At 45.5% G+C, this 19,513-nt stretch overlaps 2 annotated features.

The window, feature by feature from the left end:
- Positions 8,667 to 9,440: an enhancer, noted in NCBI's record as "H3K4me1 hESC enhancer chr6:1576654-1577427 (GRCh37/hg19 assembly coordinates)". NCBI's record gives its function as "activates a minimal SCP1, AML or CMV promoter by ChIP-STARR-seq in naive H9 embryonic stem cells {active_cell/tissue: H9 hESC(naive)}" and the evidence as "EXISTENCE:reporter gene assay evidence [ECO:0000049][PMID:30033119]".
- Positions 18,842 to 19,024: a silencer, noted in NCBI's record as "fragment chr6:1586829-1587011 (GRCh37/hg19 assembly coordinates)". NCBI's record gives its function as "represses an EF-1alpha promoter that drives an FKBP-Casp9 reporter gene in an ReSE screen in phorbol 12-myristate 13-acetate-treated (for megakaryocytic differentiation) K562 erythroleukemia cells {active_cell/tissue: K562(+PMA)}" and the evidence as "EXISTENCE:reporter gene assay evidence [ECO:0000049][PMID:32094911]".

The following is a 19,513-nucleotide window of genomic DNA, read 5'->3' on the forward strand; positions in this document are numbered from 1 at the left end:
GTGAAAAGTCTGCTGCCAGATGTATTGGAGCTCCATTGTATGTTGTTTGTTTCTTATCCCTTGCTGCTTTTTGGAAACTTTCTTTATCCTTTACCTTCATGATTGAATTATTAGATGCCTTGAGGTCGTCTTCTTCGGGTTAAATCTGCTAGGTGGTCTAGAACCTTCTTTTACTTGGATATTAATATCTTTCTCTAGGTTTGGAAAGTCCTCCGTTATTATCACTTTGAATAAACGTTCTGCTCCTGTCTCTCTACCACCTCTTCAAGGCCAACAACACTTGGATTTGCCCTTTTAAGGCTATTTCCTATTTTTTTTTCCTTTCTTTTATGATGTCTTTGTTTGGTTTTGGTATCTGGGTAATACTGACCTCAAAGAATACCTTGGTAACTGTTCCCTCCTATTCTTTTTCTTTAAAAAAAAAAATAATTTGTATTAACTCTATTTTAAATGTTTGGAGAATTAAAAAGTGAAGGCTTTTGGGCCTAGGCCATTTTCGTGGGAAGTTTTCAAACTGCTAATTCAACCTCTTCATTTTCACGGGTCTATTTAGGTTATCTATTTCTTCTTGATTCAGTTTTAGTAGTTTGAGTTTCCTAGAAACATGTTCATTTCGTCTAAGTTTTTTGAATTTATTAGCATATAAATGTTTATAGTATTCCCTTATAATCCTTCTTATGTCTGTGAGGTCAATAGAATTGTCATCTTTTTTATTCCTGATGTTAGTAATTTGAGTCTTCTTTTTCTTGGTCAGTCTAGCTAATTGTCAATTTTGATGATCTTTTCACAGAAACAACTTTTGGTTTTGTTCACTTTCTCTGTTGTTTTTCTTCTGGTTCGTTAATAGCCGACCTAATCTCTATTACTTTCTTCCTTTTGCTTGTTTTAGATTGAATTTACTCTCCTTTTTTCAGTGTCTTAAGGTGGAAAACTAGGCTAGTGATTTAAAATCTTTCTTCTTTTTTAACAGAGGTATTAACAGCTATTGAATACCCTCTAGACACCGCGTTAGCTGCATCCCGTAAGTTTCAACATCTTATATCTTCATTTTCACTCGCCTCTAAGTGTTTTGTAATTTCCCCTGTGATTTCTTTATTGATGTATTGGTTACATAGGGATGTGTTTTTAATTTCCACATATTTGTAAATTTCCCAAACTTTCTGTTATTGAGTTCTAGTTTCATTCTATTGTAGTCAGAGAACATACTTTATAGGATTTTAGTTTTTTAAAAAAATTTCTTGAGGCTTGTTTTACTGCCTGGCATATGGTCTCTTATGGCAAATGTTCCATGTGCATTCGAGAAGAACGTGTATCTTGCTCTTGGGTGAAATGTGTATTTCAAAGACCTAGTTGATTTATGGTGTTGCTCAAGTCTTCTACTTCCTTGCTTCTTCTACTTCCTTCTGCTTTGTTGTTCTAGCCATTACTGAAAGTGGGATATTGAAGTCTCCAACTATTATTGTTGAATTGTCTATTTTTCCTTTCATTTCTGTTTTTGCTTCATGTTTTTAGGAGGCTCTATTATTAGGTACATATGTGTTTATAATTATTACATTTTTCTGATAAATTTGATCAATTTAAATGTTTGTATTTGCCTTTAGTAACATTTTTTGTTTTACAGTGTCTGATATCAGCAGAGCTGCCACTTCTTTCTTATGGTTACTGTTCGCATGATAAATGTTTTTTCATCTTTTTACTTTTTACTTATTTGTATTGTTAGTTCTAAAGTGTGTCTCCTACACACAGCTTATAGTTAGGTCTTATTTTTTTATTCAGTCTGAAAATATCAACCTTTTTGTTGGATTGTTTAATCCATTTACATTTAATGTTATTTTTTAAAGTTGGACAAATGGGTGCAGCACACCAACATGGCGCATGTATACATATGTAACAAACCTGCACGTGGTGCACATGTACCCTAGAACTTAAAGTATAATTAAAAAAACAAATAAATAAATAAAGTTGGACTTATGTCTGTCATTTTGCTCTTTGTTTTCTACATATCACATATCTCATGTCTTTTTTGTTCATCTATTTCTCCTTTACTGCTTCTTTTGCATTAAGTAAATATTTTCTTGTGTAATATTTTAATTGCTTTAATAATTTTTCACTGTATTTCTGAGTTATTTTCTTAGTGGCTTTTACATGGTTTATCATATACACCTTAACTTAGAATCAACTTCAGATTTATAGTAACTTAATTTCAATAAGATATAGAAGTGTTGCTTCTACATAGCTCTATACCTTTCCATCCTTTTTTATGCTATTATATATATATATATAACAATAATAGCACATATACATATATATATATAACAAACCCAATGGTACAGTTATACTTATTGCATTACATAATTTTATGTCTTTTAAAGAAGAGAAGAAAGGAGAACAAGTTTATAATTATGAAGTTTGTTACATTAACCTTATTATTTACCATTTATAGCCCTCTTCATTTGTTCCTGTACATTCCAGTTGCCATCTGGTGTTATTGTCTTACACAAATACAGCTTTGTTCACATTCACATCCTTGATACTGTTCTTGTCAAATATATTACATTTCTATATGTTTTGGCTCAACAATACAATTAAATACATATTGTTTTATACCACTGCTTTTCAAATAGGTTAAGAGAAGAAAGAATAAATATCCATTTATTTTATAATTACATCCACGTCTTTTATAATTACATGCTTACCTTTACTGATGCCCTTTGTTTTTTATGTAAACTCAAAATTCCATCTGGGGTCACTTGTCAACCTGAAAATTTTTCCCTTGAGTATTCTTGTGAGATAGGTCTTCCAGCAATAAAATCTCTTAGTTTTTGTTTATCTGGGAATATTTTTATTATACCCTCTTTTTTGAAGGATTGATTTTCTGGATATAAGATTCTTGGTTGGATTTTTTCTTTTAGCACTTTGAATATGGAATCCCATTGCCTTCTGGATGGCACTATTTCTGATGAGAAGTCAACTGTTAATGTTTTGGAGGGTTAACATTTTTAATATGATGTGTCTGGGCATGGATTTGTTTGCATTAATCCTACTTGGAGTTTGTTGGGGTTCTTGGATATGTATATTAATTTTTTATCAAATGTGATACATTTCAGCCATTACTTATTCAAATATTTTTTCTGCTCTTTCCTCTCCCTCTTCTTCTTATATAATCATCATGTATATCTGTACACTTTATGGTGTCCCACATTTCTTTGAGGTTTTGTTCATTTTTCTTCATTTTTTATCTCTCTGTTTTTTATTTCACAGTCTCTATTAATATATCTTCATGTTTGCTGATTCTTTTTTTCTGGCAGTTCAAACCTTCTGTTGAACTCCTCTAGTGAATTTTCTACTTTGGTTATTATACTTTTCAACTCCAGAATTTCCATTCGAATCTTTTTAATCATTTCTGTCTCTTTATTGATATTCTCTATTTAATGAGACAGCATCATCATCTCTTCTCTTACTTCCTTAAGCATGGTTGCCTTCAGTTTTTTGGATATATTTGTGATGATTATCTTTGTTAAGTCTTGTGTTTGGGCCCTCTGACAGTTTGTGTTATCTGCTTTTACCTCCCATGTATGAGTTTCCCTGTCATGTTTATTTGTGTGCCTCATGATTTTTTGTCGAAAATTTGACATTTTAGATAATATACTATAGCCACTCAGAATACTGATTTTCCCTGAAGCCCCTGTCTCTGGAGATTGTTGTTCTTTGTTGTTTATCTGTTTAGTAATTTGACTGGCCCATCTGGGTGAAGTCCACTTTTCCTGCAGTGTAAAGGCACTGATGTTGCTCCTTAGAAAGCACAGCCTTGAGCACGTACATAGTCATCATGGGATAACAGTGGTTTTAGCAGGATTCTCTTTCACTGTTTGTTTACCTGATCTGTCTGTAAGCTGTCTATCTCTATGTCTCTTGATATCTCATCCAGCTATTAGACTCTACTAATTGCCTGTTGGTTGCTCTATTGTTTGTGATAGTGTCCTGGTGCATACATTGCTCCACGGTCTCAGTCAATCAAGTTCAAGCCCCTTTGCAAGGATAGTTTTTGAGCTAGCTTTGAGATTTTTTGTTTTTGTTTTTGAGCCTCAAGAAGGCCCTTCTTAGATGTCTCTTTCCATGGTTATTTTTTTATAATCTAGCTGATCCACAGTTTCACTTGTTGCTCTCATGGAGCTTCCAGCCTCTTCTTCAGTGCTTACCACCAGAATGTCTATTGTTTTTGAGAGCTCCCTTAGGCGTGAACTTCCCCCACATTCTGTTCTAAATAAAGTCAGCTCATTTACGGAAAGCTTCAGAGGTCTCTGTTCTTAAGGCCCACTTTCTGCCAGGCAAAAATCTCTCCCCACTGCTGAGCAACACCCCATCTTTAAGAGCAGCATCCTGGGCAGGGAAAGTAGCCTCTCTGATCTTTTTGCCTTGCCCCTCCCAGCATGGAACTTCTACCCAATGAGTGAGCTGGGCAAAAGCAACTGGGGTCACAGTATTCCTAGCCTGCCACATCTGGGGTAGAGCTTCCACTCTATGAAAAAGAGCTGAATGGAGGAAGGGAGCCCCTGACCTCAGCCACACTCACATGGAATTTAACCTATTCAACACAGAACTTGGGAAGATGTGAAATGCTGGTGGCCTGCCCCTTCTGAATAGGTACAGTAGCCCCTGACTGAGAGCTGGTGGGAGAGGAAGCCCCATGTCTTGAGCACACACACCTGGAGTGTGACTGCCATCATGATGAGCTGGTGGGGAGAGCAGGTTGCGGCTTAAGTTCCACAGACCCTTGCTCTTCTTACAGAGATTTAATAGAGTTTCTTGAAAAAACTATTTGTTAATTCATTTAATGCTCTTAAGACAACATCCACAAGTTTTAAATGGTTGAGCTTTAACAAAATAATTCTAATTAGCTATGGTTGTTTGGCTAGGGAACATGTCCGTGGAACTCCTCACACCACCATTCCAGAAGTGAGTTCATCATATGTGCTTATTTACGCAAAATCATGCTTAGGGGAGAATATTTAAGAAATTGTTAATGGAAGGATGGAGGGGGAGATAAAATTACTTTCATTTAAAACCAATCTGTATTGGAATATGTTTTTCCTTTTAAAAATAAAAAAATAAGCAATTTCAAAGCTAGATCATAAAATATCATGCAGATTCTGCCCTGTCTGATGAAGACTTGCTGTAGGAATCCTCAGCTCTCTTGTGAGATGTCTGGCTATCCTGAGCCTGCCATACTATAAGGAAGCCTAAGCCACATGGAGAAACCCAGCTAAGCCAAGCCATCAAGTCATCTCAGCCCACATGCCAGCCCCAAACATTTAAATCGTCCCCAGCTGTTCAGCTAAGGACCAGACATTGTGCAACAGATACAAGCTGTCCTTGCCAAGTCCCAACCAAAATCTGACCCACAGAACCTGTCAGACAAAGAGAATGACTGTTTTAGGCCCTGCAGTTTGGGGTGGCTTATTACACAGCAAAAGATAACTGGAACTGGGGGTAACATTCAGAATGTGTTCCAGTGATAGTTCTGTTCTCAGATTTGCTTCCTTCTCTTATACCTCCTGATCAGCAGGTGGAAATTAAAAGAGCATTGTGAGATGCTGGAGAGATCCAGAACCACTTGCCATCAACGGCTGGGGAATCCTAGCCAGTGAGCTCGCAGGAGTTAGAGCAGCTTTTTCAGTTAGAGCAGTTAGAGCCTCTGGCCAGGCCCCTCGATTCCGTACAGATGCCAGTTCCTACAGTTGTCGATGCTAAAAAGGAAGGGATACAATGAGGTAGGGGGTTGAAGTGTTGCACAAGGTAGAGTTTACTTGGTTGCATTCACCACAGTCCAGAGATCTGGTGCCTTCTCTTATTCAGGGTGGTCAGTACTGAAGCCAAATTATAATAGGGAAGTTGTTTGGTGAGCAAAGAATCAAAGGGAGGGGTATTCACAAAAATGCAAATATTGAACGGGGATTAGATTCAAATAGGCTGGCAGATCCAGCTGCACAAAGAGGCACAGGTGAGCAGAGCAGGAGCAGGCATCCGTGTGCTGCCCTTTCTCATGGTCTGCTTTCTGATTGAGGATCATCCGCAGATGTGTTCATAGCCTCCCCAGGTTCACAGGGCTTCCCGTCACCAATTGTCATGTGGAATGCAGGTACAGTATTGCCAGATGGTCTGACTTTTGAAACAGAAGCTAGAGATCCAGACTTTAAATATTCCTGATTTTTAAAATAATGATTCAGAATGTTTGGAAACACTATGTGGATCCAACAAAACACATTTGCAGAATGAATCCAACCTGTGAGCTGCCAGGTTGCAACCTCTGGGTGAAAAGTCGGGTCTCCTCATCATGTGTGGGCATGGCCAGGCCTGCTCACGGAAAGCCCCTAGCAGGCATCAGAGGGAAACTCCTGGGCCCAGAGAAAGGGAGGCAGCCCAGCAATCACTCTGCATAAACCTCAGCGCCCCTCACGCCAGCCTTGGGGGACATGCCTCACCAAGGAGAAGCGTTGCCTTCTATGGTTGTCTCTGCTGTTTCTGGGGCTGATGTGGCTAGAAATATAAAAGGCAGTGAGCACACGGTTCAACATTCCCCCACACTGGCAGTCGACCCACGCCGTGCAGCCTGCCAAGAGCAGGGAGCTTGGGCACAGAGCTGAGAAACTCACAGGGACAAGGGGAGCCACAGCTGCCATCCACACCCCATCTCCTTTATATTCTTTGCACTGCTGTTTCCTACTTCAAGGGCAAACAACTTAAAGCAAGATTGCACCAACTAGGCCCAGTTCTTGCCCATCTGCAATCCTGGGCCAGACTTGACGGCCTGGAACAGGAACGGGCAACTTTGAATAATCCTCACTCAGCGATTTCTCTCCCACCCCAGGTTTCCCAGCTTGCACAATTGCCCCCAAGGCATCCACTCTCAGCTGAATGAGCTCCAGGCCTTGCACCCACAATGGGCCCCATCCGGACCAGCAGCCTTGGCAAATGACCCAGGCGGTATCCTTTCCCCATATAATGACCTGATGGCCACAGCTCTGATTTTCCAGAACAGTTTAAATTATGAATGATGAGTTCCTTTATCAGATCATGATCAGATTTTTTGGCTCTGAAAATTTCTTCGATGGCCCTAGAAAGGCAGTTCCCACAGGGGAAAGGCACGGTCCCTGACTCAACCTTTGTGAACCCTGTGTCCCTGAGCTCCACGCTCACCCTCCTGGAGTCTCAGCTTTCTCATCTGTGAAAAAAACAGCAGAGCCTTCTCAGCCTTGCATCTTCTAAGTGTCTGGAGAATGCAGGGAGGGCTGCCTTGGCGTTTGCTCACTAGGTCTCTCCTTCCCGCGCCTTGAAGTGTTAATCACTGTCCCAGCTAGCAACTCAATAAACCTGAGCTCCCTTCCTCCTAATCCCCCGCACTGATTTTATCTTCACACAACCCCCCTCCACCCCCCAACAAGGGCAGAGTTCTGTTAAGGCCCTGGGCTTGCCCTGTGGTGTCAGGGCCATGACCACCCACCCACACAGGAGCCTGGAGCCTTCCCCCAGTGCCTGCCCTGGCCAGGCCTCCTCTGTAGGTGTGGGTAGGCCTGGGAACCCCGGCCCTGAACAGCCTCAGAGGGCTTCGGTGTTGGAGTGAGCTGGGACCATAAAACTCACAAGCTCCAAGTTCCCAGGCTCTTTGTCAGCCCACAGAGCCCTGTCACCTCACAGCTAATGCAGGCAGTGGCCAGCGATCCCCTGGGAGCGGTTTAAAAGCGCAAGTCTGGTTTTTAGAAAAAGCAGCTGAGGTTATAGTAAGCAGCTGACAGTTCCCCCACAGCTTCAAGCTGTAAGCAGCAAAGTGAAAGAGGGGAAGGAGCGTCCTGAGTGGCGTTCTCATAGGAGAGTCATGTCCACCTGGGAAGCAGGGAGATTTGGGCAATCATCCCACTCTTCCAGGAAGACAGCCAAAACCCCCACTGCCCCACAGCCTCCCCACGCCAGAAGCCAGCCCCACTCCAGCCTCAGCCCAGGCGTAACACTGACTCCCCCACGGGCCACAGAGGCTGTGGTCTCAGGGCTTCAGACTGCATTTGCTCCTGTTCACAAAGAAAAGGATTCCAGTAACACCAGAAGTTCTCTCTCCAAAACCGGCGGACCCGGAAGCCCTATTTTGAAACGTTTCTTCACACCCAGACCTCAGCCAAAGCAGGAAAGACGGCACTCAGTGGGGAATGAAAGGCTGGCCTTGTTCTGATGGGAAAGCAGCACTGTGGCTCCCCACAATCCGAAAATGCAGTTTTGATGATTAAAGTGCACATTTCAACAGGCTTTGTGACAGACACTCCTGGCGGCAAGGTCTGGGAAAAGGAGGCTGCCAGTAAACCCCCTGCTAGCCTTGTTTTCTCTGAACTTCTGGCCCCAGTGGGAAAGGAAATTAAAACTTCATTTTTAATTTTTAGTTATGACCCATTGTGCTGCAGGGTCATGGCCGGGGGTTTAGAACACCTAGCCTCGAAAAGGGTCTGAGACACTGTCTTTGAGGTCAGTTCACAAGCCCAGAAGCACCCGAGGCACAGCTGGCGGGGTCGGGGGGCGCAGAATGTTTGCATAGGACAGAGACCTCTGCAGAGATCCCATAAACATCCCTGAGACCGGGAATGCACTTACATTTGCAATTGACCTAATGGTGCCTACAGGACTTTCTCACTTGTTCTCACAACCCAGCTTGATGGACTTCGGCTCTCAAATTCTATCATGCTATTTTACTACGTATTTCTTAGAGGTCAGTTTATGAAATAACATGCAGAACAACTAGTCCTGGCAATAATGAAAGAGGAGGAGTTGGAAAAAGACACAGCCAGGGCCCACACTCCAGCATTGCTCAGTGGATAACCTAACTTAATGGGTACGTTAACTCCCAGGAAGTTAAGACAAAGCTCTTTAGGAAAGACCACCTAGTGTCTCTTCTTGACTTCACGGAGGAAGTCTAGAAAATACTAGTGACCATGGGAAAGCAAACAGACCCAAAATGGTCGTGTTTGGCCTTCAGGGAATTTTGTTGGTTCTTTGAAAAAGGTGAATTAGTCGCCACCATTGAAAGTCCCGGTTTCCTGCTCCTCTCCGTGGATTGGAAAATGAGGCTTCGTGAGGCCCACCGTCCCGTGTGGCATCATCTGTGGGGCTGACAGCACCTGCCCCCTAGGTCGGTTGTCCCACTCCCACTCAGCACAGCCGCCACGCCAGGCTGCTGGGAGTGTCTGAGCTTCAGAACCCTGTTCTGGAGTGAATGGAACATACTCGACACCCTTGGAGCCAAGCAACTGAGATGGACCATTTTCAATAGACTTCAGGGCCCTATCAGAAAATGCCATCAAATGATTCTGTTATGTGTAACAAATACATAGACAGAGAGCAAATGGAAAGGGCCCGGCCAGGGGGCCCCCAGCCTAGACAGCCTCCACACGCCCCCTCAGAGGTACCACTTCCCACCACTGCTTTGGCCTGAATACCCCCTCACTCAGCCACTCCTTCTGGCTGCGGCCCCTCCAGCTTCTGCTAGCAAATGTCCCATAGAGGGTCAAGGGACACTCCTCCTTCTCCCAGGACACTGGCTGCCCAGATCTCCCCCTGCCTGCAGCCGGGGACCTGAATTGGGAGAGGTGAGATATTAGCATCCCCTGGTCCATTTCAGGCTTCAGGAGCCCCGCAAGCTGCAGGCCAACTTTGGAAGACATTTGTGGTGTGGAGACAAAGCCGAGCCCCGGCTGGTCATCCCCACCCGTCGGGGCAGCTGTGCCTGCCAGCCCTGCCTGCCCCTGCCATGCCTGCCACACTCCTACCTGGCCCAGGCTGGAAGGCATCCAGGACAGATCAAAAGTCCCAAATGAGGATGAATATCTGAAAATGGGCACTGAAAGGGGGCGGAATACACGCACACTAAACTGCATGTAGCTGTCAAAGCATTTGGAAACAACAGCGGCCTCAAAGCTCAATGTTATATTTCCACACTGTGATCATTAAACGGTAAGAAACAACCGTCCCAAGAAGGACGAAGAGAACCTTGGATGCCATCTGTGTCAAGCTGTCCCTGGAAAGAAGGAACACTGAGTCCTGAGGGCAAAGGCGAGAATAAACACCGCGCACCCTCAGCCGGGGCCCCGTGTTCCTCCGTGATGTTCCACTTTTGGAAAGGAAGCTGGCACTTGGGTATGCAACAACCTGCCTTCAAACGCCAGTGGCGGGATTTGTTTTTACATTTACATTTTATTATTTTGTGTAGAAAATCCTGCTTTTGAACACCTCAAAAATGAAACTGCAAGGAAAAGCCAGTGAGACGCAGGAGGGGTGAGAGGGACTGCGCGGCAGCCGGCGCTCTCGGGGAGAAGGCCTGCCGCTCTGCTTTCTGCATTTCTTTGCTGGAATTTATTGCTCATCCAAGCACAACTGATAATTGAGTGGGTTACTCCACCAGCTCTCCAAAAACAATAATGCCACATGTCCAAAATTCCACGGTTGCAAGAACCTTGTATCCAACAAATTATAAAGAGTCCCTCTATGGTAACCATCTCATACCAAATAAATCCTCCTGTTGTCACAGACTGGCCACGGTTCTTTCCATTTCTTACGTGGGCTTTGAACAGACCATAAATTCATTGATGAATTAGTCAGATTTTGACCACAGTCCTTTCCACAGAGGCTAGGCTAGGTATGATGAATTCAAGCCTAGTGGCCACGCACAGGAAAAATCATACAAATTCCCTCCTCATAAATTGAGGATGAGGCATTGTGGGGAAACGCCCGGTGAGTTCTCGCTTATATCAGATTTATTGATCATTTATTAGCTGTTTGAACAAATGGTCCGGAAAACATCCTGCATGGGTTCTGGTCCAGTGCACCAGCAGCTAACCACGACTGTGGTCAGGTCACATGTGTCCCCTCTGATGCTCAGATGCCCCGGCTCTAAAATTAGTCCCTAATAGGCTTCTGGCCTGAAACTCCATGATCTTACCTTGTAATTTGCAAGAAAAAAATCAGGTAATATCTTGGAAGAAATGAGCAAGAAAGACCGAAGAGGAACTGATGATGGGAATAACATTGACCCTATCTCCCCTAACAGGAGGGAAAAGGGATCCCTCCAGATTCTGAAATCAGAGTTCATCCTTTCTGATTTCTAGAGAGATTCTGCAGCCTGAGTTTAGCACCCCAGTAGGCAAAGAGACCTGGGCTGAGATGCACCCCATTCCCCAGGCTGAAAAGAGACCACGGATGGGACTTTTCTTTACCTGGGAAGAACATACTCATCACCACATCAAAGCCCTCCAAAGGCAGAGAGGCCACATTTTTATTAGTTCATGTCTGCTCCAGTGGCAGATATAGAGAAACAGTGGGAAGATGATGGGGGAAAGCAAGGTTCCAGGAATGGTCTGGGTGTATCAGTGAACAGCAGAGTCATTATAAATACATAATGTAATGTAGTCACAGAAAGGAATTTTTTTTAAAGACATGATACACTGGGTGCATACAAAGAGGCAAACACTGCAGGCTTCGGTGAGAACAAGACGTCCTTTATTCTGCAGATCCCAACCTTAGCTCAGCCCCAAAAGAAGACCGCAGACAGTTTGGAGCACCCCAAGTTCAGAGGAACATTGAGACACTGGAAACCTTCCAGAAAGGAGCCACAAAGCTGAGTTGCAGGCTGCGAGGGCTGAGCAGTGGAGAGAGGGTCAACAGCATTAAACACTGAGTAAGTGCTGTGGCTGTAAGTCAACCGGGGCAAGAATGACCTACAAATAATCCCAGGGCCTCCCCGATGAAGAAGGTTTCCATTCTGCCCAGGATGGAGACCTGGGCAGCTGTAGACCACACCCAGGCTCAGGGCCAAGGAGCCCATGATATATTTATACACTTGCAGCTTCCAGGGCCCGTGGTTGCTGGCCTGCCTGTGCTACGAATAGCAAGGTCAACTGTCAGGGACATTGTCCTACAGGGGGTAACAAGCTCCAAAAGAAGCAGCCCCCAGGGACAGGGGAGTGAGCCCAGGTTAGTGTCAGGTGCGTTCCCCCCTCATTTCACCCCTCCTCACTTCCAGCCCTTCCCCCCTTTCCTGTGCGCTCCTTCCTCCCCCCTACTCCTTGCAAGGACCCTTCTGTTACACCAGCTTCCCTAGTCCAGGAGGACAATGAGATGATGAAGAGGTTTCCCTGAAGGTGCGAGTAGCTCTGAAAATTCACCTCCGAGAGGGAAGCACCTGTGCAGATAGTGAAGCCAGTGGACTTGGTGGCTGGGGACGGTCCTGGGCCACTGTCCTCCCCTGTGTGAGCTCCTCGCTTAGCCTGGAGCCACCGCAGCATCAGGGGCAGAGACCAAGGTCTGCTATCTTCCGGAACGAGCCGTCTATCCTCCCCTTCCCACAACCATCCCAAGCCTATCTTTCCCTGAAACACACAACCGCTTGCTCTAAATTTTTAAAAAAAGATACACAAAGATGTGAGAGAGTTACCTGCTGTTTTCCAGCTTTGAAATCAATGGTCTGAGAGAAAGCAGCTTTCTGGTCCACTAACAGGATTGTTACTTGGAGCAGCTTAGGGATGGATTACTCATGCCCCAGCTGGGGAACACTCTCATGAGTCTACTTTAAAAAAAATATTACTACTGCATTGGCTAAAAACAACCAAGGTCCAATTTTATATGAAGTGATAAAATCAGCGTAGAGAAAAATCCATGAGCCAGCAAACCTGGACGAGAGGTCGTGGATGACTTACCTGGGAGCCCAGCTTGCAGGGTGGCCGGAAAGCACCCCATGCTTTGCTGGTGGAACTGGGGGCCACAAAGGGAGGGGAAAGCCAGAACTCTGGGATCAGAATCTTCAGAACCTGTGTCTACTCTTCTGCCTTAGAAAGAAGCCTTTAGAAGCAAAAGAATTATCTTATAATTCAGGCTTGGTCAGGGGCACAGGTCCATCCCGCGGTGGTCTCCCACCATGGAAAGGCACAGGATGGGACGTCGGCTGACCCGAGCCATGAGTGGGCTGAGGAGGGGAAAGCAGTGCAGCCGGCTTGGGGGCAAGCTGGGGCATGTGAGTGTGTGTTTCGCAACATTTCCAGCTACCTCGGTTCCCCCTGGCATCCTCCTGCCTTCCTGCAGCCCCTGGCCCTCCTTCTTCTACCTGAGCCTTTGTCTTGCAGGCTCTGGGATGGTGGGGATCCTCTACACCAGGGTCTCCTGCTCGTCCTTGTACTAAAGCAGCAGCTGGGCATTGTCAGAATGGCTGAAGGAGGGACTCAGAGAGGCTGCAGGAGGGAGTCAGGCCTGGGGCGGGTGAGGGCTACTGTCCTATGAGACCAGGAGAGCAGATGAAGGACTCCTGAGCCCAGAGAGGACTTGGCCTGCCCAGAGTTACCCAAGATGCCTGGGGAGGTGAGGCTTGGAGAGCTCATGGAGTGAGTCCCAAAGACCCCAGCAGAGACAGTGGGCAGAAAGACTCCCGGGCCCTCTCTGTGGGGCTGATTCACCCACGCGACAGCCACAGGGTGGGGAGGGGCTGGCCACAGCGGAGGGGTGCACTGACCTGAGAGCCCAGTGCTGGGAGGCTGGCTCCGGGCACGTCACCGCCCCCGTCATGTGCTCTCCTTGTGCCGCCGTCCCAGCAGCGCCCCATCTCACCAACTCCCACCTTCATGTGTGGCCGCCCACCTAGAGCCATGCCTGAAGCCACTGTCCCTGACCACAAAGCTTTTGGCTGATAGGAAGCATGACAGCACTGGGGCCCTACACTGGAAGCGGGACCGTCCAGAGAAGAAGACTGCGCACAGGGATCGGGAGCTGGGACACACGTTAGTCAAGGTGTACGAGGGAGGAATCACCGCCATGTGGAGCCACTACTCGGGGAGGACGTGGGCCACCCGGAGCTCAGTGACAGTACTCCCGGGAGTGTACATCGTTGGTAATGTCCACGACAGTGTCCCTGCCTGTGACCCAATAATTTCCCATCCAGGGACACACTTCACAGAAATGCACGCACAGGCACAACAGCATCGAATGGGAGAGCTGCACAGAGCCTCTTCATAGCATCCCCAAACTGGAAGCAACCCAAACACCTAGCGGACACAAATGAGTAGAAAATGAACAAAGGAGCATTATAAGCAATGAAAACAGTGAACCAGAGAGACGCACATGAGACAGGCTCCATCTCACAAGCCTGAGGTTTAGGAAGAGAAGCAACCAAGACCCCACGTTGGCCAGGCACGGTGGCTCATGCCTGTAATCCCAATACTTTGGGACGCCAAGGCAGGTGGATCACCTGAGGTCAGGAGTTCGAGACCAGTCTGACCAATGTGGTGAAACCCCATCTCTACTAAATACAAACAAATTAGCCAGGTGTGGTAGCACATGTCTGTAATTTCAGCTACTTGGGAGACTGAGGCAGGACAATCGTTTGAATCCGGGAGGCGGAGGTTGCAGTGAGCTGAGATTGCACCACTGCGCTCCAGCCTGGGCAATACGAGCGAAACTCCATCTAAAAAAAAAAAAAAAAAGCCCAGGCAATATGACGCCACTTCCAGAAAACTCTAAGACAGGCACAAGAAAGACCACTACCCTGTATGGTTTAGGGGTTACATCTAGGCGGCAAAGCAAACATCTACAGAGAAGGGAGACAAAGATGCGACTGGGAATGGCCCATGGCAGCTGCCTTCCTGGGGCGGGACACAGTTCTGGGGGGGTTCATAAGGTCTCATTTCCCATATCTCGGGTGGTTTCACTCAGCCATTCATACACAGGAAAAACATAACAAGAAATGTGTAGACCTTTAGGATGAAACTTCAAAATGCTCCTGAAGAACACAGGGTACAGCTGTGTGGATGGAAGGACAGACCTTACTCATCTCTTGTTAGGAAGACTCAGCATTAAAGGGCATCAATGGCCAGGCACAGTGGCTCACACCTGTAATCCCAGCACTCCGGGAGGCCGAGGCAGGTGGATCACCTGAGGTCAGGAGTTTGAGACTAGCCTGGCCAACATGGTAAAACCCTGTGTCTACTAAAAAATACAAAAATTAGCCAGGCCTGGTGGTGGGCACCTGTAATCCCAGCTACTTGGGAGGCTGAGGCAGGAGAATCGCTTGAACTCGGGAGGCAGAGGTTGCAGTGAGCCAAGATTGCACCACTGCACTCCAGCCTGGGGGACGGAGCAAGACTCCATCTCAAAAAAAAAAAAAAAAAAAGGCATCAATTATCTCTAAGGTCACTTATATATGAACATCATCTCCATTTTTAAAAGAGGATTTTTCTGGAACTAGACATGTAGTTTTAAAGTTAATATGGAGAAAAAAAGGAAGAAGCAAGACAATTCTGAAAAGAAAGAAAAATGAAGAAGGACCAGCCCTCAGAGGTATTAAAACATATTCTAAAGGTGTTAATTAAATAATTAAAACTGAAAGGCAGACCTGTGGAAAAGAGTCAAAAACTCAGAAGGAGGGTCAAATGAATATGTGAAACCAATATATGATCAAGACTACATCTTAGCTTGGTGGCAGTAAAGATGGACTTTTAAATAAAGGAGGCCGGTGCCATCAGGCAGCCATCTGGAAAAAGGTAAAGTGGACCCGCCCTTCCCAGAATGTGCCGGAGTAACTCCAAATGTATCACAGATCTAAACATTAGAAAGTAGAAGCACAAAAAGTAGCAGAAAAATTCAAGGTCAGATATCTACCTTTAAAGCCTTGAAGAGGGAGGTCTTTTTAACTGTAACGCAAAACTTCAGTAGCCATTTAAAAAAAGATTGAGAGATATTGGCTAATCTAAACATAAAAATCAAAAACTTCTATGTGGAAAACACCATAGATAGTATGGATGTGAGATGATATTAAGGAATTATTGTAAATTCTCTTGGATGTGATAATGGTATGATGAGTGTATAATAAAACGTCCTTATTTTTAGAAGGTACACACAGAAGTCCTTGGTGTCTAGAAGCACACAAACACACACACACATGCCCACACATGAGCACACACACGTGCGCACACACAGAGATAAGGCAGAAGCGGTACCCGATGTCAATTCAAATTGTTGAATTTAGAGGGTGGACATACAGCTGACCATTGTACTATTCTTTCCATTATTTATTTATGCATAAGAGAAAACTGAAAAATACACCATCAACGAAGTCAAAAGGCAAATGACAAACTGGGGAAAAAATGTTTGTAACTCATATCATAGACAAGGGTTAATCTTCCTAATACATAAAGAACTTCTATAAATCAGGAAGAAAAAGTCCAATAACCCAATAGGAAGGTGGACAAATGAATAAATAGTTCACAGGAAAAGAAATAGAATGTATGAAAAGAACTCAAAGGAAATTCTAATTCAACTACATTGAGATAACATTTCTCACTTATCAGACTGGCAAAATCCAAAAACTGGTCAGCATGTTCGGTTGGTAAGGCTGTGAGGAAACAGTCCATCTCCTTGTGGCTGGTAGGAGGGCAGGGAGGTAAGACACTGGTGAAGAGGGATTTTCTGTTTATCAGAGCTGTCAGTGCGTGGCCCCATGACCTAGCAATCTGACTTTGGAGATTGACCCTGTGGATGCTCCCACTTCCATACTTAATGACATATGGCCAAGGCGCTCTGTTGAATCCGTGTTTGTTATGGTCAAGGCTGGCAACAGCACAAGTATCCATCTATAGGGGCCGTGTTAAATCAACTGAGGCCTCTCCACCCCATAGAATACCAGGCAATTCTAAAAGGGGAGGCCCTGTGTACAAAGGGGAGACCAACAGGATGCCATATTAAGTGAAAAAAAGCAAGGTTGTATTGGTCATGAAAGAATGAAAAATAAGAATTTTCAAAATTATGAATATATTTCCATAAGGGATGGACGTACTCCCACCTGCCCTCCCACAAAACTAATCGAAGTTATATTTGCTTAGTAGTTATATTTGGCGGTGGGATTTGGACCTGAATGGGAGAAAGGCTTCTCAATGCCTATCTTCTTAGGTCTTTTTTCTATTTAAATCATGCTCATGGTTTGCTATTCGAACAATAAAATTTGATTTAAAATAAAAACAGAGAACTGTCAGAAAAACTCAAGGCTTTCTTTTGATTTTTGAAAAAAGTTTCTTAAATGTTGGTAATACTTATTTTGAAGGGTATTCTATGAGTTGTCAGGTCAAAACCTTTACTCTCAACATTTTCCATAACCTTGGTTGTCTCTTAAATTGCGCAAAATAAAGAGCCAATGTTTCAGCGGGTGAGTTTAGTGCTTATAGGGAGCTCACTGTACCAATTCAGAGCATGAAAACCCTCTCTTCGGTGGCAAGGAACAGGGGCTTTCCTCTGCGTGTCCCACTGGCCCTCCCACATGGCTTTGCTTGTGGAGACATTGCCCGGCTTCCCCCAGGGGCCCCTGGAACTCTGTCTCGGTAAGCTCATACAATCACCTTTCCAGATAATTCATAAACAAATACGGAGGTGAGAAGATCAACAGCACAAGAGTGTTGGCTGTCATTCAACAGAGAGGGAATTAGAATTGCTCCACTGGGTCTTGTCCAAAAAACCAACTCTAAGCACCTCTCCTCCCCTCTGAGCCACCCCAGTGCCCGAAGGCCACATGTACGGACTCCATTTGTTCTAGTTCTTTTCATAAGAGAGAAGAACCGAGTGTTTCACATGCCTGTAACACGGGCAGGAAATGCTAGGATCCATGTGAAACCCACCACCCTCCCCCAGAAGCTCCTGGCTTTAGCATGGAATACTCTGCAGAACGTAGCTGCCGTGAAGATGATGGCCCTGAACTGCCACACTCCCCAGCGAGGTGACAGGCTAGGGACTGAGGCTCGGGCAATCCCGCCAAGTATCCCCCCACTCTCCCCACATTCTGACACCCTACTGGGGGCTTTCATGCAGGTGAAATCTGGTTAAAAGAAACAGTTGGGAAGAGACTAAAACACTCACCAGAAAGCCCCTGCAGCCAGGAGGAAAGTGTCTGTAGAAGGAGGTGGTGCATTTCCTTGGCCACCGTGGGTTCCCCGACTAGCTCAAGGAGAAAGGGTCTTTCATGGATGCAGCAGCAAAGGTAACTCTGCCGACCCGGCAGGGGACCATGGCTACTGCTCAGCGCCCACAGGGCAGGGCCTCTCGTGCAGCCGATTGAGCCATTCTCTGCATCCTCAGTCCCCACCCGGAGGACAGGTCGGGCACTGGCTCCCTGGAGGGTCGGCACAGCCTCTGAATTCCCGATGAACACCCGGTTGTTCCAGCCAGGTTCTCCCTGGAACAAGCCAAGCCAACCTCAGCATTTTATTTTCTTCTTCAATTCATCCTCTTAAATTCTTTGCCCTTTTCCATTCTGTGACTTTTGCCTTTTTCTGTTTTCCTTTTGCAGAATAAAAGAACAAGGCAATATAATTTTTCAATATGGAAAATTAGAGAATTCAGTTTTTTCCCAAATCAGGTCATGTTAGTGTCCAGTTATTTTTCAGAGCCCTTGTGAAGAGAGTTTCGGGTTGTAAAAAGGTCTGTTAAGTAAAAAACTATTAGTTATGATTGTTGCTCTCCCAGAACCATACCTCTGACGGACTAGAAGTCACTTCATTCATCAAGCCAGCACTTTTCCCTCCAGACAGCTGGAGCTAGTAATTGCTACTGACTATAGCTCTTGACAAGTGGCATCCACTCAACTGAGTATGGAAGGCATGGAGGAAACGGAGGACGACACAGAGGCAGGCTGGTGCTCACCTCCATAGCCGGGGTGTAGCCACAGTGCCTTCCTCCTTCCTCTTGTTTTCAAGGGTTACTATTTCCTACCAATATAAAAATGTAGGTCCGGGGGGTTGCCCCTCTCCCCCTCTTATGTGGTAACAGGCATTGAGTGAATGTGCCCAGGACTCAGCGTTCACTGCTGTTCCCATTCAAGTTCACGCTCCTGCTTTTTTTTTTTTTTTCTTTTTTTTTTTTAGAGACAGGGTCTCACTGTGTGGTCCAGGCTGGAGTGAAGTGGTGTGATCTCAGCTCACTGCAGCCTCCAATTCCCAAGCTCAAGCCATCCTCCCACCTCAGCCTCCCAAGTAGCTGGGACTACAGGTGTGCACCATCACACCTGGCTAATTTTTTTTCTAATTTTGTGTAGAGACGGGTCTCCCTTTGTTGCTCAGGCTGGTCTCTAACACCTGTCCTCAAACGATCTTGCCTCGGCCCTGCAAAGTGCTGGGATTGCAGGTGTGAGCCACCGCACCCAGGCCACACTCCTGCTTTTGAAGCAGCAGGCAAATGAGTGCATTTGTTTGTTGCTGAGAAAGAATGGAGGGCATGATCTGATGAGTCTGTCTGCTCCTCCAGCCTCCCTTTCCCACAGGACCAGGTGCGAGAGCCTGCAGTGCCCCCAAGGGAAAAATGACCCTGTGGTTCAGGTTTGCATGGTCTAGACCAAGAGTGTAGGCCCTGCATGTGTGTGTGTGTGTTCATGTGTGGTGTGTGCGTCTGTGTGTGTGGTATAGTGAATGTACTGGGTGTATGAGAGTGTGCATGAGGGTGTGTGTTGGGTGTGTGT

This window comes from Homo sapiens, chromosome 6 (assembly GCF_000001405.40).
Source record: "Homo sapiens chromosome 6, GRCh38.p14 Primary Assembly".
Classification (NCBI taxonomy): domain Eukaryota; kingdom Metazoa; phylum Chordata; class Mammalia; order Primates; family Hominidae; genus Homo; species Homo sapiens.